At 48.3% G+C, this 18,815-nt stretch overlaps 1 protein-coding gene across 18 annotated transcripts, besides 2 other annotated features; it reads left to right on the forward strand.

The window, feature by feature from the left end:
- SLC25A44 (solute carrier family 25 member 44) lies at nt 29–18,721 on the forward strand. 18 transcript variants are annotated; one of them, XM_047435097.1, is made up of 6 exons: nt 29–172; nt 1,418–2,098; nt 4,918–5,646; nt 5,760–6,397; nt 13,787–13,938; nt 16,165–18,721. In XM_047435097.1, exons 4-6 carry the CDS (start codon nt 5,773–5,775, stop codon nt 16,354–16,356), a joined length of 969 nt encoding a protein of 322 aa, XP_047291053.1. In that variant the 5' UTR covers nt 29–172; nt 1,418–2,098; nt 4,918–5,646; nt 5,760–5,772; the 3' UTR covers nt 16,357–18,721. The 18 variants fall into 18 exon arrangements, 15 of the variants coding, with proteins under 15 accessions (XP_047291053.1, XP_047291054.1, XP_011508482.1 ...); XM_047435098.1 differs by having other exon boundaries at nt 13,811–13,938; XM_011510180.2 differs by having other exon boundaries at nt 1,938–2,098.
- Nucleotides 46–95: an enhancer, noted in NCBI's record as "active region_1852". NCBI's record gives its function as "activates an Ori minimal core promoter by ATAC-STARR-seq in GM12878 lymphoblastoid cells {active_cell/tissue: GM12878}" and the evidence as "EXISTENCE:reporter gene assay evidence [ECO:0000049][PMID:35858748]".
- Nucleotides 106–455: an enhancer, noted in NCBI's record as "active region_1853". NCBI's record gives its function as "activates an Ori minimal core promoter by ATAC-STARR-seq in GM12878 lymphoblastoid cells {active_cell/tissue: GM12878}" and the evidence as "EXISTENCE:reporter gene assay evidence [ECO:0000049][PMID:35858748]".

Consider the following 18,815-nt stretch of genomic DNA (forward strand, 5'->3'; position numbering starts at 1 on the left):
GACAGAGTCCTAATTTCCGGTTCCGGCAGTACCGGTAGCCCAGTCGAGATGGAGGAAGATGCGACCGGCAGACGGCATTCGCTGGGAACGACGGATAGACTGGGGGCTGCGGCCTAGAGGTCCGGGCTTGGAGTTCGCCTCAGACGCGGTGGAGCCGCCGGAGTCTGAGAAGGTAAGAAGCCGCCGGCTTGAGGTCCCTGACAACTAAGGTCTCTGAGGATCTGCACTTGTCAGGGAGGCAAAGGATGCCTGGGGTGTCAGGCTGCGGTACCATGCAGTTTTGGGAATGAAGGACAACTGCGGTGAGGCGTCTCTTCCTGGCAGAGGATCGTGAGATTCGCTGACAGCGAAGAAGCACGGCAAGGGGCATGTTCGAAGACCCAGAGTTGGGTGTGCGGGGGCCAGGACAGAGGCTGCATAAAGGGGGTGTCCCACGGAGTATCTTGAGAGGATTGTCATGTGGTGTCTGTGATGAGGGATCACGTGGGTACCTATGGAAGACCAAAGGAAAGCTGGGTGGGAATCTCACCATGTCCGAGGTAGGGAGGAGATGATCTCGAAGGAGGGTTCGGAGGCATCCCCAGGCATTCCCCTAGGGAAATGTATATTCAGTAGGACAGGTGGGCAAGCATGTACATATATTCACGTTCATGTGGTAGATAGCTCCCAGGATGCAGATGCAATAGGGAGAACAGAAGGAATGGAGGATGTTGGTCTCTATTCCCTGTTTCCAGCTGAGAAATGGGGACCCATGGGTGTCTTGTCAGGAGTTGTAGAAGATGATTTGATTTGAAAAGATCTGATTATTATAAAAGTTTGGTTCTTATTCAGCAGGTCTAGGGTGCACCCTGAAATTCTGTATTTCTAACAGGCTCCCACGTGATGTCCATGATGCCAGTCTGTGGACCACCTTGGGTGGCAAGGACTTAGAGCATCACTGTCCAGTAGAACTTTCTGTAATGATAATGCTTTGCTGTTAACAAAATGCCTTCACAATTCTTAACTCATATGAGTTGTACTACAGCTCTATTTTTTTTTTTTTTTTTGAGACAGAGTCTCGCTCTGTTACCCAGGCTGGAGGGCAGTGGCGCAATCTCGGCTCACTGCAAGCTCCGCCTTCCGGGTTCACACCATTCTCCTGCCTCAGCCTCCCGGGTAGCTGGGACTACAGGCGCCCACCACCACGCCCGGCTAATTTTTTGTATTTTTAGTAGAGACGGGGTTTCACCGTGTTAGCCAGGATGGTCTCGATCTCCTGACCTCGTGGTCCGCCCGCCTCGGCCTCCCAAAGTGTTGGGATTATAGGCCCGGCCTCACCTCAGTTCTCGGAAGGTCAGCCCATCCTCGCTCCTGGGAGGCTCAAAGGCTCAAATGCCATTGGTGGAATCGCTGACAGCTCATCCTCCGTCCCCCGCAGGGGGCGTTAATAACAGAGTCCAAATTTCCGGTTGCGGCAGTACCGGGAGCCGAGTGGATATGGAGGAAGATGCGACCAGCGGACGGCATTCGCTGGGAACGACGGATAGTCTGGGGGTTGCATATCATATACAGCATTGATAGGCTTTATTAGCCCGATTCAACAGACAAGGAAACTGAATTTCAGTGAAGTGACTTGGTTCCAGTCTTACACTACTGAGTAATGGAAGTGAAACTCAACATGGATCTCCTGATTGCTGGTGTTCTTTCCGTTGTATGACCTTGCCTTCTAGGTGACACTACCTTCTCTCGAGCCAGAATCTTATCCCAGAACCTAGTGAATAGTCAGTCCCATGTGAATTTTCTGGTACAAGGAGAGTAGAGGTGGAGAGGAGGAGGCATATGCCCCTGGGCCTATTTGTCCCTTTCCATTGGTAGGGTCAATAGTGAGAGCTCTGCCTCTAACATTTCACTTGATTACTTCAGGACAAAGTGCTCACTAATTCTGCGTCACCTGTTAGGTCCCTTGAGGAAGCACGTCAACATTTGTGCCTGAGCAGTGTTAAAAAGTGGAAGAAAATCCGGAATTGGAGCCATGCACATGAGGGTCTGAGAAAGAGCCCTAAAGAAGTTGGGCTGACTAAGTTGGGAGAAGGGAAGGCTGGAGGAACTTTGCATACAGGTATCTGCAAAGAGGATTTTTTCAGAGGGTAAAACAAGAAGAATGGGATTGATATTTCCGCAGGAAGTTTGGAAGTTATGTAACAGAGCAGGTTGAGATCCTACCTTTTAGGAGCAGCCTGCCCCTTTTGAAGGGGTAAAGGGAGTGGGTGCAGTGCCCTCTCTTCTGTTGTAGTGGCTTATCCCTCTAAGGCATGACCCTTGGATAGGGGTTACCTGCCTCGGAAAGTCCCCACTTCCTTGTGGGAGTTTAAAATAGATTGGCATATGTGAGAGATGGAGACAAGGTGGGAAATCGGATCCTGTCTTAGGATTTCTCATCAGGAGATGCTGATACTTGGTGTTTCAGCTTGATAAATTGAGAAGGTGCCATGAAACCAGGTCCTGGAACAGAATCCCTGGTTGCTCTGTCTTTTAGCTGCTCTGACCCTCTGCCCTGCAGAGCATGCATTTTGCATGTGCCTGGCAGGAGGCCCTCCTGCTTGAGCCCTGCTGTATTTGTCTGTGTTGACAACGTGACTGCCAGCCATTAAGCTTGGTCAGTCCACAGACACACTAGGAAAGCAGAGGCAGCTCTTGGTTTCTCTGGAACAGAGCTGCAAGAAGTCTCTGGGCATCTGCATGGCCAGGAGCTTATGCTTAACTGTTGAGTGACCTGCAGCCATAAGGGCATTAATTCTGCCTTCCAGAGGTGGGAATGACTTGGCTTTAAACAGTGATTTGTGTGAGAATTCTTCAAATCCCATAAGGTAGAAGGCATGGTGGAGTAGAGGAGAAATCTTGGCTCATATCTGCCTCTTCCATTGACCAGCTGTGTGACCTTGGGCCTGTTACTTTTAACCTACCTGACCCTCCATTTCCTCATTTATCAGAAGTGTCTAACTGTACACAAGTTAAACTGTAAGGATTACATGAGGTAGTAGTCAATCCTGGTGTTTCTCTGTATCTTCTCACTTCTCACTGGTGTTGGAAATATGATCTTGCGACCCTAGATGGCAGCCACTCTGGGGCAGAAGAGACAGTGACCACCTTTTGAAGAGCTCAAAGGAGAATATTGCCCCACAGGGCTTAGTGGGTCCCCCAGGCTGAGGCTGGGGAGGAGGGCCACCTTTGCCTACAGCAAGTGGCATATCATTGTTCTAGGGGTTCTCTTGACGGCAGAACTTTGCCTCTAGCTCATTTTCCACAGCCTAGATTTTCCAATCTTGCCAATCCAGTTGACTTCTGTCTTCTCATTTCCAAGCCATTGTTCTCTCTCTTTCACTATCTACATGGATTATCCTTCATTCAAACTGCTTTGTCCCGGCTGGGTGCGGTGGCTCATGCCTGTAATCCTAGCACTTTGGGAAGCCGAGGCGGGTGGATCACGAGGTCAGGAGATCGAGACCATCCTGGCTAACATGGTGAAACCCCGTCTCTACTAAAATTAAAAAAATTAGCCGGGCGTGGTGGCAGGCGCCTGTAGTCCCAGCTACTTGGGAGGCTGAGGCAGGAGAATGGCATGAACCCGGGAGGTGGAGCTTGCAGTGGGTGGAGATCGCGCCACTGCACTCCAGCCTGGGCGACAGAGCGAGACTCCGTCTGAAAAAAAAAACAAAAAAACTGCTTTGTCCTGTAGGAATCCTGTGCGGGTTATGTGCACCTCCCTCAATCCTTACCTTGAAGCTAAGGTTTCCCCTCAGCTCTCAAGTACTCAGTTTGCACTGCAGGTAGTCCCTATTTTAACGAAAGTTATACGGTCCAGCTCAGGGAATCCTGAAAAGCTGCCCTTGCTTCCATGGTAATCAAAAGGCAGTTCTCATGGAATAAAAGCTACCTGAAGCCTGAGTTGGGACCTTTGGCTGGGGAAGGTGGTTGAGGACGTTCTCTGATTAGATGCTTGGCATGAGGTTTGCTACTGGAACTGCTAGTGTAGAATGTTTCAGCCCCCTAGAGTTGTCCCTGTGATGTGGCTACCTCCTTTCTCTGGGATTTCTCTTAAAGTCTGGGGAGCCCCTGCTTCTCATTTCCTGGAATTTATCTTCCCAGTCTCCCTTTCTGGCTGAAAATTTCTAGTATCTTACAGAACAGCGGTGGGATACACTGGAGCACATCATATTACCACTAAGTATGTCTAATAAATGATGTCCTCTGATTTGACATTTCCTAAATGTGAAGCTCCTGATTTTATACAATTTTGAAATTAGTAAGCTTGTTAGTTTTGTTTGAAATTCTAGGCATTGGATACACTTAACATGAGGGCTACATGTGCATCAACATACTCTGGTTTCCTTCCCTCTGTATCTTTTTTTTTTTTGAGATGGAGTCTCACTGTCTCCTAGGCTGGAGTGCAGTGGTGTGATCATGGCTCACTGCAGCCCCAACCTTCAGGGCTCAGGTGATCCTCCCACCTCAGCCACCCAAGTAGCTGGGACCACAGGTGCATGCCACCATGCCTGGCTAACTTATTTTTATATATTGTAGAGACGGAGTCTCCCTATGTTGCCTAGGCTGACCTTGAGCTCTTGGGCTCAGGTGATCCTCCCACCTTGGCCTCCCAAAGTGTTGGGATTATAGGCGTGAGCCACTGTGTCCAGCCTTTTCCTCTGTATCTTGTATCCATTCCCCAGAGCGATACTGTGTATCCTTGAACAGACGGTTTCTTGAAGTCAGAGTCTATCTCCTCTGTCACTTCTCCCCCTTCATTATCTAAGACTGAGGTTGTGGTTTATATGCTTAGAGTTGAAAGCATGGGGTCCAACGTGTTCTGTACTCTGTAGTTCCCCAGACTCTTCAGGGAAACTACTTAGCTCTCAGGTGGTTCTTTTCTGTTTTTCTCAGAGCAAGTTATCTAATAACTGAAGAGGACTCTGCCCTTTGGCCTGTTCCTGACTTTCTAACTCCTTTTGCTGGAGGAAGGGGAGGTTGAGGGGGGTGCCCTGTGGTGTGAAAGCCCCACTTGCCCTCTCCTCTATACTTTCTTCCAATGCAGACGGGAGAAAGTATCATAAATGTAGTGACTGTGGGTCAGGGGAGCTCTGAGAGGCCAGCACAGGAAACCAGAAACAAAATGAGTCAGTTCGTAGGTGGCGATCAGAGGCACCCTGCTGAGGGTGCAAGGCCACAGGTGATGCCTCCTCAGTAGGCCCAGGAGCATCAAAACGGGAACAGTCCCTTTCAGCCTTCAGGAGCCTCCCAAATGTCACTTAGTGATGTCCCATTCACCTGCTTAAAGGCCCTGCATCCTGCCAGGTAGTTGGTTTGTCCATAGCATCCTGAGCTCTGCTTGGGTGAGCCAGACAAAAAGAATGATTCCTGGCCAGAGTAGTGATACCAGGGCCCAGACAGAGGCAGAGAGTCCGGATAGAAGATCCTGTAAGCTGGGGTAGGGAGCCGAGGAGGCCATGGAGCCAGGGGAATCATTGAAGTGAGGGACAATTTCTGGAGGAGGGAAACTGAGTAAGGAAGGCCTGGCCAAGGACCAAGAAGGGGACAGTATCCTGATCTATGAAAGAAGACTCAAGTGGGGATTGACAGAGCCAGATTGGGTGGAGTCCAAGCTTTGGGCAGGTGAGTGTCCAGGAGATGAGGGCTGAGAATGGGCCTTCAGAGCCCAGCCAGAAGGGGAAAGCACAAAGCTCCACCCTCCTTCTTCACATCCCTCCATACTGCTCAAATCCCAGGTCTTCAGGCACCATGGAGGACAAACGCAACATCCAGATCATCGAGTGGGAACACCTGGACAAGAAGAAGTTCTACGTGTTTGGTGTGGCAATGACAATGATGATCCGTGTCAGTGTCTACCCATTCACCCTCATCCGCACCCGGTTGCAAGTTCAGAAGGGGAAGAGCCTCTACCATGGGACCTTCGATGCCTTCATCAAGATCCTGCGAGCAGATGGTATCACTGGCCTCTACCGAGGGTTCCTGGTCAATACCTTCACCCTCATCTCTGGCCAGTGTTATGTCACCACTTATGAGCTCACCCGGAAGTTTGTAGCTGACTACAGCCAGAGTAACACAGTCAAATCACTGGTGGCTGGTGGCTCAGCCTCCCTTGTGGCCCAGAGCATCACAGTGCCCATTGATGTAGTCTCCCAGCACCTGATGATGCAACGCAAGGGTGAGAAAATGGGCCGCTTTCAGGTGCGGGGGAACCCAGAGGGACAAGGGGTAGTTGCCTTTGGCCAAACCAAGGACATCATCAGGCAGATCCTGCAGGCTGATGGACTTCGCGGCTTCTATCGAGGCTATGTGGCTTCACTGCTTACCTATATCCCAAACAGTGCTGTCTGGTGGCCCTTCTATCACTTCTATGCAGGTAAGCAGGGGCCAGGACAGTGGGGGAGGAAGGTGGGATTTCTAATGGGGCTGAGATACTGTTGCTTTGTGCATGTTAGAGTGGAGGTGAGATTTAATGGGGGAATGGGTCATTCACTCAGCAAATGTTTGAATCCAGGAGGATTTAAAGATGCATAAAACATGGTTTTTATACTTTCAAGGAGCTTCTAATGTAGTGAGGGAAGCAGACAGGTATAAAGGCTAGAACAGTGTGCAGCATATGCTCTGTGTGCTTTGGAGTCACTGGAAGGTGGGGGAGGACAAAAGCCATGGGATGTTTAGGATTTGAAGTTTAGGATGGGTAATAGTGAGCTTTTGACTTGGATGTTTTCCTCAGCATTTTTTTTTTTTTTTTTTTTTTGAGATGGAGTCTCACTCTGTCACCTAGGCTGTAGTGCAGTGGTGAGATCTTGGCTCACTGCAACCCCCACCTCCCGGGTTCAAGCGATTCTTGTGCTTCAGCCTCCCGAGTAGCTGGGACTATAGGCGTTTGCCACCATGGCTGGCTAACTTTTGTATTTTTAGTAGAGATGGGGTTTCACCATGTTGGTCAGGCTGGTCTTGAGCTCCTGACCTCGTGATCTGCCCGCCTCGGCCTCCCAAAGTGCTGGGATTACAGGAGTGAGACACCAGCCCCTCAGCATTTTAAATTCAAGGTGTGATATAACCTTGAACCTCTCCACTCCTGTAATGTATCTTTGTTCATAAGACATTTTACTTTTTAAGTATTTCCTATTTCCTAGAAATGGGGTTACTGAGTCAAAGATAACATTTTTGAGGGCTTCCATAAACATACTGCCAGATTGCCTTCTCAAAGGGCAGGGTGCATTGTTGAAGAGCAGGACTTGAGTGTGCCTGCTACCCTGGGACATCCACCCACAGCTTTGAGTAACCATGAAATTCCCGTTAGGGCAGCCTATGTTTGAAGCCTCCCTAATCCCTGCTGTTGGCTCCCAACCCTTGGTAGTGGGCATTCTGTCCCACCCCATTGGAAACTTCTGACCAAAATTTTCATGCCTTCTTAACCTGTAATGATTTTGTTTCTGTGGCTCTGTACTTTCCTGGTGCTTCTTTTGTTTTTCTGATTATTGCTTCTTTCTTCTTCTTCTTTCTGCTTTCTTCTTCTTCCTTCTTCCTCCTCCTCTTCTTCTTTTGTTTCTTCTTCCTTTTTTCTTTCTTCTTCCTTCTTTTTCTTCTTTCTTCTTCTTTTTTTGCTAGCTCTATTACTTCTATTTAGCACAATGTTTCCTCTGGGGTATTTGTTAAAAGTCAGGTTCCTGGACTCTACCCTGACCCTTTAATGTTAAAAAAGCTTCCCAGGAAATGTGAGCATTTTCTCTGGAGCCTGTCTTTAGCCTTCTCTCCTCACTTGACTGCATTTACAATTAGAGCTGCATTTTTCTGACGTGTCCATCATCTCTACTTCCATTCTCAGACTAGCCTGTCGAGAGTTCTGGACAGACATTCTGACTGTAGGACTTCTCCATCTACATGCATCAACTTATGTCTAAAACTTTCTTCAATTAACTAGTCTTCATCCCAAGCTGGCTCTCTTTTCTGACTTACTTTCATTGGTCAGTGGCCTTGTTATTCTTCAGTTCACTGAGACTGAAGTCTTGGGGATTGTGCTTGACTACTCCTTCTTTCTTGTCCCCATGTCTAGTCCTGGTAACTCTAGAATTTCTCTCCCAACTTTCTCTTCATACCTGCTGCCTTCCCTGGAAACCATGCCTCTGTTACCTTCCTCCCAGACTGCTGCATCAGCTTTCTAGCTGTTCCCTCCTGAGTTCTCTTCCTTCCCGTCCATCACATACATCTCTAATGGACTGACCTTTTCAACTTGCGTTGTCATGTTCAGTGGCTTCCACTGCTTACTGAATAAAATCCAAACTCTTCAGCCTGGCTTCAGTCTCCCTTCACAGTGAAATCTCTTGCTTCTCCCCTAGGTATAGGCAGTCTGTGCTGTAGCCTGGGCAGGTAGTGCACAATTCCTCAACCATACATCACCTCTCCTACCACCGTGTTTTGTTCCTGCCACCCCTCTACCTAGATGCCTCCCAGGTTTGCTTACCCCTGGCGCAATCATGACTTACCTTAAGTGCTCCTTATTGCCTCCTCTTCCTTCCTCTCCATGTAACCCTTAAACCCAGAAGTGATCTTTCCCCTTTTTCATCCCCATGACATTGAATCTTTCTTAAGGCAGTTATACATTTGCTTTGATGTTATTTGTGTGTGCCCTATCTCTTCTGCTATGTGGAAAGGTTCTTGGAAGGGGGAGGAAACTAACATTTATTGAATGCCCATGTGTGCCAGGGCTCTGTGTGAGGGCTTGTATATCTCATAATTCCAACCTCACAATAACCCTGCGATGTAAGTGGTCTATAAGAACAGGGATCATGTCCGTTTCTGTTCACTATTGTACCTCCCAACACCTAGCTCAGGGTCTGGTGAAACTTAATTGCTCAGTAAATATTTTTTGAATTAATAGACTGGTTCTTGCTACTCCTTTTTGCTTAAAATCTGCCAGTGGTTCCTTACCGGCATCTAGAATAAAATCAGTTTTCCTTTCCATGGTCTATACATCTCTATTGCTCTGACTCCTGTCTGCTTTTCCAGCCCCACCTTGTGCCACTCTGCTCTTCCTCACTGCTCTTCCCTCAGTTCCTGGTATACATCAGGCTCTGTTCTTGCCTCAAGGCCTTTGCAGATACTCTTCTCTGCCCGGACACCCTTTCCCCTGTTCTTTATGTGGTTGGCTCCTTCTCATGCTTCAGGCTTCAGCTTACATGTCACCTTTGCGAAAAGGACTTTATTCTATTGGAAAGAGGGCTCTTTCTGTTTTATATTTCAGCACCTTGTTTCCTTCTTAGTACTTGTCATAATTTGCAGTTATTTTACCCCCAACTCCCAGCTCCTTAGTTAGAATATAAATTCCATGAAGGCATCTCCCTGTCCATGTCTCTGTTCTATGTCTGGTACTTATCATGGTGCCTGGCATCTATTATTAAGTACTCATTTATATCATTAAATACTTGTCCAGAGTCAAGCCAGTCTTAGCCAAGTGGGACTTAAACCAAGTCAGCCTGAGTTCATCTTTTGCCTGGTAGATAAGAGATTCTTAAATGTTTCTTGAATGACTAATGGAGAAAAATGAAAGATGTGGAGTCCCTCCCTCCCTCCCTTCCTTCCTTCTTTCATTCTCTTTCCTTTTTTTTTTTTTTTTTTTTTTGAGACAGAGTCTCACTCTGTTGCCTAGGCTGGAGTGCAGTGGCGCGATCTCGGCTCACTGCAAGCCCCGCCTCCTGGGTTCACGCCGTTTTCCTGCCTCAGCCTCCCGAGTAGCTGGGACTACAGGTACATGCCACCATGCCCAGCTAAGTTTTTTGTATTTTTAGTAGAGATGGGGTTTCACCGTGTTAACCAAGATGGTCTTGATCTCCTGACCTTGTGATCCGCCCGCCTCGGCCTCCCGAAGTGCAGGGATTACAGGCATGAGCCACCGCGCCTGGCCCTTCTTCTTTTTTTTTTTTTTGAGATGGAGTTTTGCTCTTGTTGCCCAAACTGGAGTACAATGGCATGATCCTGGCTCACTGCAACCTCCACCTCCCAGGTTCAAGCAATTCTCCTGCCTGAGCCTCCCGAGTAGCTGGGATTACAGGCATGAGCCACCACGCCCAGCTAATTTTGTTTTTTTAGTAGAGATGGGGTTTCTCCATGTTGGCCAGACTGGTCTCAAACTCCCAACCTCAGGTGATCCACCTGCCTCGGCCTCCCAAAGTGCTGGGATTACAGGCATGAGCCACCGTGCCCTGTCTGACATGGAGTTATTTCTACCACTTTCTTGCTTGTGTGTTTCATCTTCTCCCCAAGCCCCAGGAAAGTGGCATATGTGCATGATTAAAATTGGAATCTGGATCTGCTGTAGCTTACAGGCCTGGAGGACAGAATAGACAGGCCCAAGGAGGCAGGCAGTGCCAGTCCACATGCTACAGTTGGTTTTTTTGTTTGTTTCAAACGGAGTTTCACTGTTGTTGCCCAGGCTGGAGTGCAATGGCATGATCTTGGCTCACTGCAACCTTCACCTCCCAGGTTCAAGCAATTCTCCTGCCTCAGCCTACTGAGTAGCTGGGATTACAGGCGCCTGCTGCCACACCCGGCAAATTTTTTGTATTTTTAGTAGAGATGGGGTTTTACCATGTTGGCCAGGCTGGTCTTGAACTCCTGACCTCAGGTGATCCACCTGCCTCAGCCTTCGAAAAGTGTGAGCCACCACGCCTGGTCCAGATGCTACAGTTTAATGATTGCAAAATGCCTTTTTCTTGGGAGAAACAGGATACCAGTGAGGCTGAGCCACCAGTTCACTCTGTTTCTGTTTGTATGCTGATTCTGGGGAAGAGAGTATATAAGAACTGGGGGAGAGGTGGTTCTGGTGAGGTTTAGGGAATTCTGCCATCCCAGCTGAGACTTGGAAGCTCTCACTTCTGCCCTGCCAGCCTCCACCTCCCTACTTCTCCCTGGCCACAAACTACTAAAACTAGGAGCATGAGGAAAAAATTTTTTTTTTTTTTGAGATGGAGTTTCGCTCTTGTTGCCCAGGCTGGAATGCAATGGTGTGATCTTGGCTCACCGCAACCTCCACCTCCCGGGTTCAAGCGATTCTCCTGCCTCAGCCTCCCAAGTAGCTGGGATTATAGGCATGCGCCATCACACCTGGCTAATTTTGTATTTTTAGTAGAGACGGGGTTTTTCCATGTTGGTCAGACTGGTCTTGAACTCCCGACCTCAGGTGATCGCCCGCCTCTGCCTCCCAGAGTGCTGGGATTACAGGCGTGAGCCACCACGCCTGGCCGAGGAAAAAATTCTTAAAAGGTATGATAACTGAACTATAGAAGAGAAAACCCTAAGTGACTTACCTCTTGGATCTCATATGCTGTTCCTTCCCTTACTCATACTGCTCCAGGGTACTGGGCTTGGCTGCCCCTCGAACACTTGCTGTATGCTTGTCCTCAGGGCCCTTGCATAGGATGTTATCCCTTGCTTTGAAAGCTCTGTCTACAGATCCATGTGGCTTGCACTGTCTCCTTCAGGTCTTTGCTCAGACTTCACCTTCTTGGAATGGGCTTTCATCCTTTATCCCTGAGAGGTCTCAGAAAATAAAAAATAAAATGGCAACCCCTTCCCTTCCACTGTTGGCCTCCCTATCTCCCTTTCCTGCTTTATTTTTATCTATAGCACATACCTGCTGACATAGCTGTGTATTTTGCTTTTTATTTGTTTATTATCTCTTCACACTAGAATATAAATTTCCTAAGCACAGGAATTTGAGGCTCTTTTATTTACTGTTAAATCCTCAGGATCCAGGATGACCAGCTCATGGTAGTCACTCAATAAATCTTTGTTGAATAAATGAATGAACATGTTGTCTTTCACCTCCAGAGAGAGTAAAAAGAAAATTCAATTGCAGGTAGACTTCTCAGTGGTACTGGGATGGGTTAACCTGGGTACCATTCCATCTTCATTAGCATTTTGAAAGATGAATTTTCTTTCTTGATATAGGCTGGAGAAAAGTGCTTATTGTAGGATGTGACTTTCTATTTTAATATTGTTTTTATTTTTTAAAACATGCACATGTTTCAAAATTCAAAAGTTAAGAAAGGGTATGTAGTATGCAACGAAAAGGCTCCTTACCCACCTGGTTCCCTTCTGTAGAGACAGTCAGTGTCACTAGTTTTTATTTCATTTTTAATTTTTTTTTTTTTTTTTTGAGATGGAGTCTTGCTCTGTCGCCTAGGCTGGAGTGCAATGACGAGATCTCAGCTCATGCAGCCTCTGCCTCCCAGGTTCAAGTGATTCTCCTGCCTCAGCCTCCCGAATAGCTGGGATTACAGGTGTGCACCACCACGTCCGGTTAATTTTTGTATTTTTGGTAGAGACGGGGTTTCACCATGTTGGTCAGGCTAGTCTCAAATTCCTGACCTCAGGTGATCTGCCCACCTCTGCCTCCCAAAGTGCTGGGATTACAGGCGTGAGCCACCACATCCAGCTTTAATTTTTCTTTGAGACAGGGTCTTACTCTGATGCCCAGGCTGCAGTGCAGTGGCGTGATCATGGCTCACTGCAGCCTCTACTTCCAGGACTCAGGTGATCCTCCCACCTCAGCCTTCCAAGTTGCTGGGACTACAGGCCCGCACCACCATGCCCGGCTAATTTTTATATTTTTGGTAGAGGAGGGGTTTCACCATGTTGTCCAGTCTGGTTGCAAACTCCTGGGCTCAGGTGATCCACCCATCTTGGCCTCCCAAAGTGCTAGGATTACAGGCTTGAGCCACCACTGTCTGGCCATGTCACTGGTTTTTAATGTATCCTACCAGAGTTACTCAATGCATATAGAAGCAAATATTTAGTGTGTGCTTTTCTAGCCTATGAGTTGGGAGGAACAGGGCAAGAGGCATAAGGCTTTTACATCAGGAAGGATTTTCTGCCCATCAGATGAAAGGAGTCAGCAAGCAAATTTTGAAATCTCCCTCTCCAAGGAATCTTGTCCTGTTTAAATGGACGATGTTGGCCAGGTCCAGTGGCTCCTACCTGTAATTCCAACACTTTGGGAGGCTGAGGTGGGAGAATTGCTTGAGTCCAGGAGTTCAAGACCAGCCTGCGCAACATAGTGAGACTCTCTATACAAAACATTTTTTTTTTTTTTTTTGAGACAGAGTCTTGCTCTGTCGCCCAGGCTGGAGTGCAGTGGCGCGATCTTGGCTCACTGCAAACTCCGCCTCCCAGGTTCATGCCATTCTCCTGCCTCAGCCTCCTGAGTAGCTGGGACTACAGGCGCCTGCCACCATGCCCAGCTAATTTTCTTTGTATTTTTAGTAGAGACGGGGTTTCACCATGTTAGCCAGGATGGTCTTGATCTCCTGACCTCATGATCTGCCCGCCTTGGCCTCCCAAAGTGCTGGGATTACAGGCGTGAGCCGCCGCGCCCGGCACTACAAAACATTTTTAAAAAAATTAGCTGGGAATGGTAGCACAAGCCTATAGACCCAACTACTGGGGATGCTGAGATGGGAGGATTGCTTGAGCCCAGGAGATTGAGGCTGCAGTGAGCCATGATCATGCCACTGCACTCCAACCTGTGTGACACAGAGAGACCCTGTCTCAAAAGAAAAAAAATCAATCAAAATAAATGGGTGATATCACCAAGATGACTCCTGGAAAGGGCCTGAGACTTAATAGTTTTTTGAAGGAAGCAGAGAAAATAAAAGATAGGACTTAGGTGGTGAAGGGTGGAGGGTTTGTCTGGGTTGGGAAAGCCACCTGGTAGAAGCAGCAAGCACAGTGAGGGCAGACCGGTGGTGCTTTGTGTCTTTAGCCATTGTCTTTCCCTGGATTCCAGAGCAGCTCTCCTACCTGTGTCCTAAGGAGTGCCCTCACATTGTCTTTCAAGCTGTCTCGGGGCCCCTGGCTGCAGCCACTGCCTCCATCCTCACCAATCCCATGGATGTCATACGAACCCGTGTGCAGGTAAGACTGACCACTTCCCTCACCCTCCTCCTGGAGAAGCCATTAGAAGCATGACCTTCAAGCCCTCCAGTGTTGCCCTGACCTCTTTGTGTCCTGGCCCTCTAGTCCAGTCAGTCTTCTCCTGAACATCTAAGCCCCTTCTGTGTGCTTAGCATCTGCAGAAGCCAGCCCACAGCCAGGCACAGTGGCTCACGCCTGTAATCCCAGCATTTTGGGAGGCCGAAGCGGGCAGATCACCTGAGCCCAGGAGTTCGAGACCAGCCTGGCCAACATGGTGAAACCCTGTCTCTACTAAAAATAAAAAATTAGCTGGGTGTGTTGGCATGCGCCTATAGTCCCAGCTACTCGGGAGGCTGAGGCAGGAGAATCACTCGAGCCCAGAGGTGTAGGTTGCATTGAGCCGAGATCACGCCACTGCACTCCAGCCTGGGTGACAGAGTGAGACTTTGTCTCAAAAAAAAATAAATAAATAAAAGAAGCCCGCCCAGCACTTAAAGTACCTGGAATGCTTCTCACTCTGTCTGCTACCTTGCATACCTCTCCTCCATCACATGCCCATGCCTCCAGGAAATCTTACTGGTTTCTTCCAGCCTTTATTGGAGTCCTATTCCATAGCCTATTAGCATAGCCTATCAACGACTCTTTCCTTTACCTTGCAGGTTTGTGGTTATAAGAAATATCGATTTCAGTTAATTCATAAGTCTGTCTGGTTTTTCCAGTAGGCCATAAGTTCTCTGTGGATTATGAGAGTGACTTAAATAGGTTTCACAGATTTTATGGTGTGGATGCAGCAAAACCCTGACAAAGCCCATAGTAATGGTTGTCTTCAGTCAGCTTAAAGACAGTTACACAGCACCTAGACCAGGGAAATAGAATCTGAATGATGATATGTAATATGCAAATAGTAGGTGTTGCCATATAAAGTTTTATGTCTGATTTGAGGTGGAGAATCAAAGTTGTACAAGAGAATGAAGTCACTGGGTTATGGTGAGGGGAGGAGGGAAGGAAGATAACCTTAACAGGTTGGAGATAAAATCAGCTTCCCTAGTACCAGGATGTTGGGAAGCAGATAAGTAACAAATATAGGTATTTTTGTTCCTAGGAAAGAATGCCCCCTCATTTGAAAATGAATACACTGGCATCTGGTTGGTTTGCAAATAATAAAGTGCACAGGGTCAGTCCTCATTCTTTCCTGAGCCTTGTTCTGGGCGTTCTAGGAGGAGATCCAAGGGAAAGGACAGGTCTCTACTTTGAGGAGCTTCCAGGCTGGAAAGACCCAGAGGCATAGGTGAAAAAGTCCTTGACATGGCTGTGGAAAAAGTGGAAGGGTTAGGGAAGCAGAGACGGTCACATGAGAGAGTATTGGAGAGGAAGAAGGGAGTGCGGAGGAGGGTGCTGAAGGAGGTAGGGCGGAAGCGGGGGATGTTCTTAGCCATGGCTGGGATACCTTGTGAAGGTCATATCATATAAAGGGAGGTATGAACAAGGAGTGAGTCTGTCCTGTATTGGCCGAGGGGCTGAGGAGTGGTTTCTAAAGGTGTAGTTTAGGGGTTGGGGAGGGTGTGGGACTGTTGAGAAAGAAGAGAGAAGTGATTTCTGCTTGGCCAGGCTTTCAGTGTGAGAGGGAAGATGCCTATATTTGTTCATGGGGTGTGTGAGAGATGGCAGAGATGGAGAGGAAGGTTCCAGCTCTGGGGCTTCAAGGGATTGAAATGATCAGAATCAAAATCAGACTGGCAGAGCTGCAGAGGGTCTTAGAGAGGATTTAACCCAGCCTCCCTGAGACCAGAGAGCAGCATCTAGTCCGAAGACTCATAGCTACATAGATTATCTCATGATATCAATGATAGCTAACATTTATTGTACACTTAACTATCTGCCACCACTCTTGTTAGTATTTATGAATATTTTTTTTTTCTTGCTCATAACAACCTCGTGGTGCAGGTACTATTATCACTGTTTTATATTTGAGGAAATTGGGGCACAAAGAGTTAAGTAAATTACCCAAGGTTATGTTGTTAGTAGGTTGGGGAGCAGAATTCAAACTCAGGCAGTCAGGCACCAGGGCTCATACTAAATCACTGTGCTGTACCATCCCTCACAAGCAGAATCCACACCTTCCGACGTCGGAGTCTGGTTCTCCCCACTTTAGCCTAAGGCAGAGGGAGATTGAGCAGAGGGGCTCTGACTACAGACAATGGCCCTCCACTGTGTTGACTTTTCCAGGTTGAGGGCAAGAACTCCATCATCCTGACCTTCAGACAGCTGATGGCAGAAGAAGGGCCTTGGGGCCTCATGAAGGGCCTCTCGGCCAGAATCATCTCAGCCACACCTTCCACCATTGTCATTGTGGTGGGCTATGAGAGCCTCAAGAAACTCAGCCTCCGACCTGAGCTGGTGGACTCGAGACACTGGTAACCAGTGGTGGGGAGAGAAGCCTGCTGTTTTCCACACTACCGTGGGTCAGGGGCAGAGTGGAGAGGACAGCACCCTCTCCAGGTGCTCCCACCACACACCCAGCCCTGCCCTGGGCCAAGTGGCCTATCTGGGATAGGGATAGAGACTTTGAACTGCTCTTGCTGAAGAGGCTCCACGCCTGGATCCCTTGCCCCCACTATTTAAAATTCTCTTCTGAGCTGGGCTCCCTCACTCAGTCCCTGTATTTGATACTGGCCTAAAGACCCCACCCCCCACCCTGCCAGCCCTTCTTCTGGCTTCCCCTTCCATCTGTGTCCCTGAGACCCTGAGAAGAGCTGTACATAGAGCTTGCTTACTACCACTGGTTCTTCCTCTTGGGCTTTCAGCCCAGACTCCAAGCAGCTGCTATCAACCCTCTCTCCCTTCATCTCTTAGCCTTGCTTATTTTTATTTTGGGACCGAGCTGCCCACTAGATGACTCTGCTTTTCCCTGCATTTGGGGCTAAGGTGCCAGGTACTTATTTGCACAGGGAGCAGGAGCAGCAAAAAATCTCTGGTTCTCCAGAGCACTCGTCCTCTCTTTGGAGGGGTTATTAGGTTGGGAGAAATGTTGATACTTTTGTTTTGTGTGTGTGTGTGTGTGTGTGTGTGTGTGTGTGTGTGTGTGTGTTTTAACATCTGTGAACCAGGCTATTAGTCCTGCTAAAGCGCCAATCCTGCTGTCAGAGCTCACCCCCTTCCTAAGACAGGTAGAAAAATGTAATGTAGCTTTTTCCACAAGCCACTTCCCTGTCCCTTCAGTCTCAGGAGCCCTAGGAGAGTCTAAGCTGGGGCATCCCCTGGCCCAGAGGACTCCCGTGGTGGGCACAGTTCTAAGTGGATCAGGCTGTCTTGGGTGCACTGGACTTGGAGCACTACCTTGAGAAGTCAGGTTGAGAAAGTAGTTGATCTAGAAGGCAACAAGTGGGCATGTGTTCCCCAGCACATTACCCAGGCCAGCAGAGCCAAACCTAGGAGAGGGCAGTGGGTAGATTCTCTGCCCCAGGCAGCCATGACATACACATAAATACCCCAATCACTCAGACTTACGGCAACAAGTGTTGTCTCACTATGGTGATCTCTAAGATCCACATCACTGGATGCGTAGTCATCCCAGTCATGGTACCCTGTGGAGGAATGCTGGAAGAACATAAAGAGCAGTTCAGAAAGTCACCCAATACCAGGACCACTGCATTTACCAGCCTGATACTGCCAAGATTATCTGATGCTCTCCTCAGGAGCTAGGAGAGGAGTGCTCCTTCCTCCCTACCGCTACTCTCCCCAAGCCTGTGTTGCAGGTAGAGAGGTGCAGCAAATAGAGAAGGCATGTCAAACCCTGCATTTCTACCTGAGACGTGTGACCTGGATGATCCTCCAAACCCTATTGGTCCCACCCCCTGGGAAAGGCCATGGTGCCAGTTTGAAAGGTGCTAGCTACCTGAAGCCTTGATATTTCTTCATGGCTGCCGCACATTCTTCCACCTTGGCCAGAACAGGTTCTGAAAACCACTTCTCTACCTTCACCACCACCACTGCCCATCTTGATCTCTTTGAGGGTTTTCCCATTTCACTTGATCTTATTTTTGTTTATCCCTTCCTGCACTTTGTCAAGAGAGTCCTCCAGTTTCTATCCAGGAATGTTCACATCCAAAGGGTTGGACCCACGGATCATTCTGAATCTTCCTGCCCCTCCTCACTGCTTAACCCTGAGAACCACAAATATAATGGAAGCAGTTCCCCCCACCCTCACCCCATCTCTTTAAGCTCATCCTAGCAAGACCTCTAGAGACCCTAGAGACTCGACTTTAGTCCTTCCCCGCCATGGCACAGTGGGGAAGGTGTCAATGGGGAGTGTCACGGACAGGAGGTAGGATCCTGCCGCTCGCGTCTTAGTGTTTCTCCCTCAAGACTTTCCTTCTGTTTTGTTGTCTTGTGCAGTATTTTACAGCCCCTCTTGTGTTTTTCTTTATTTCTCGTACACACACGCAGTTTTAAGGGTGATGTGTGTATAATTAAAAGGACCCTTGGCCCATACTTTCCTAATTCTTTAGGGACTGGGATTGGGTTTGACTGAAATATGTTTTGGTGGGGATGGGACGGTGGACTTCCATTCTCCCTAAACTGGAGTTTTGGTCGGTAATCAAAACTAAAAGAAACCTCTGGGAGACTGGAAACCTGATTGGAGCACTGAGGAACAAGGGAATGAAAAGGCAGACTCTCTGAACGTTTGATGAAATGGACTCTTGTGAAAATTAACAGTGAATATTCACTGTTGCACTGTACGAAGTCTCTGAAATGTAATTAAAAGTTTTTATTGAGCCCCCGAGCTTTGGCTTGCGCGTATTTTTCCGGTCGCGGACATCCCACCGCGCAGAGCCTCGCCTCCCCGCTGCCCTCAGCCTCCGATGACTTCCCCGCCC

The sequence above is a fragment of the Homo sapiens genome, chromosome 1 (assembly GCF_000001405.40).
Source record: "Homo sapiens chromosome 1, GRCh38.p14 Primary Assembly".
NCBI classification, from domain to species: domain Eukaryota; kingdom Metazoa; phylum Chordata; class Mammalia; order Primates; family Hominidae; genus Homo; species Homo sapiens.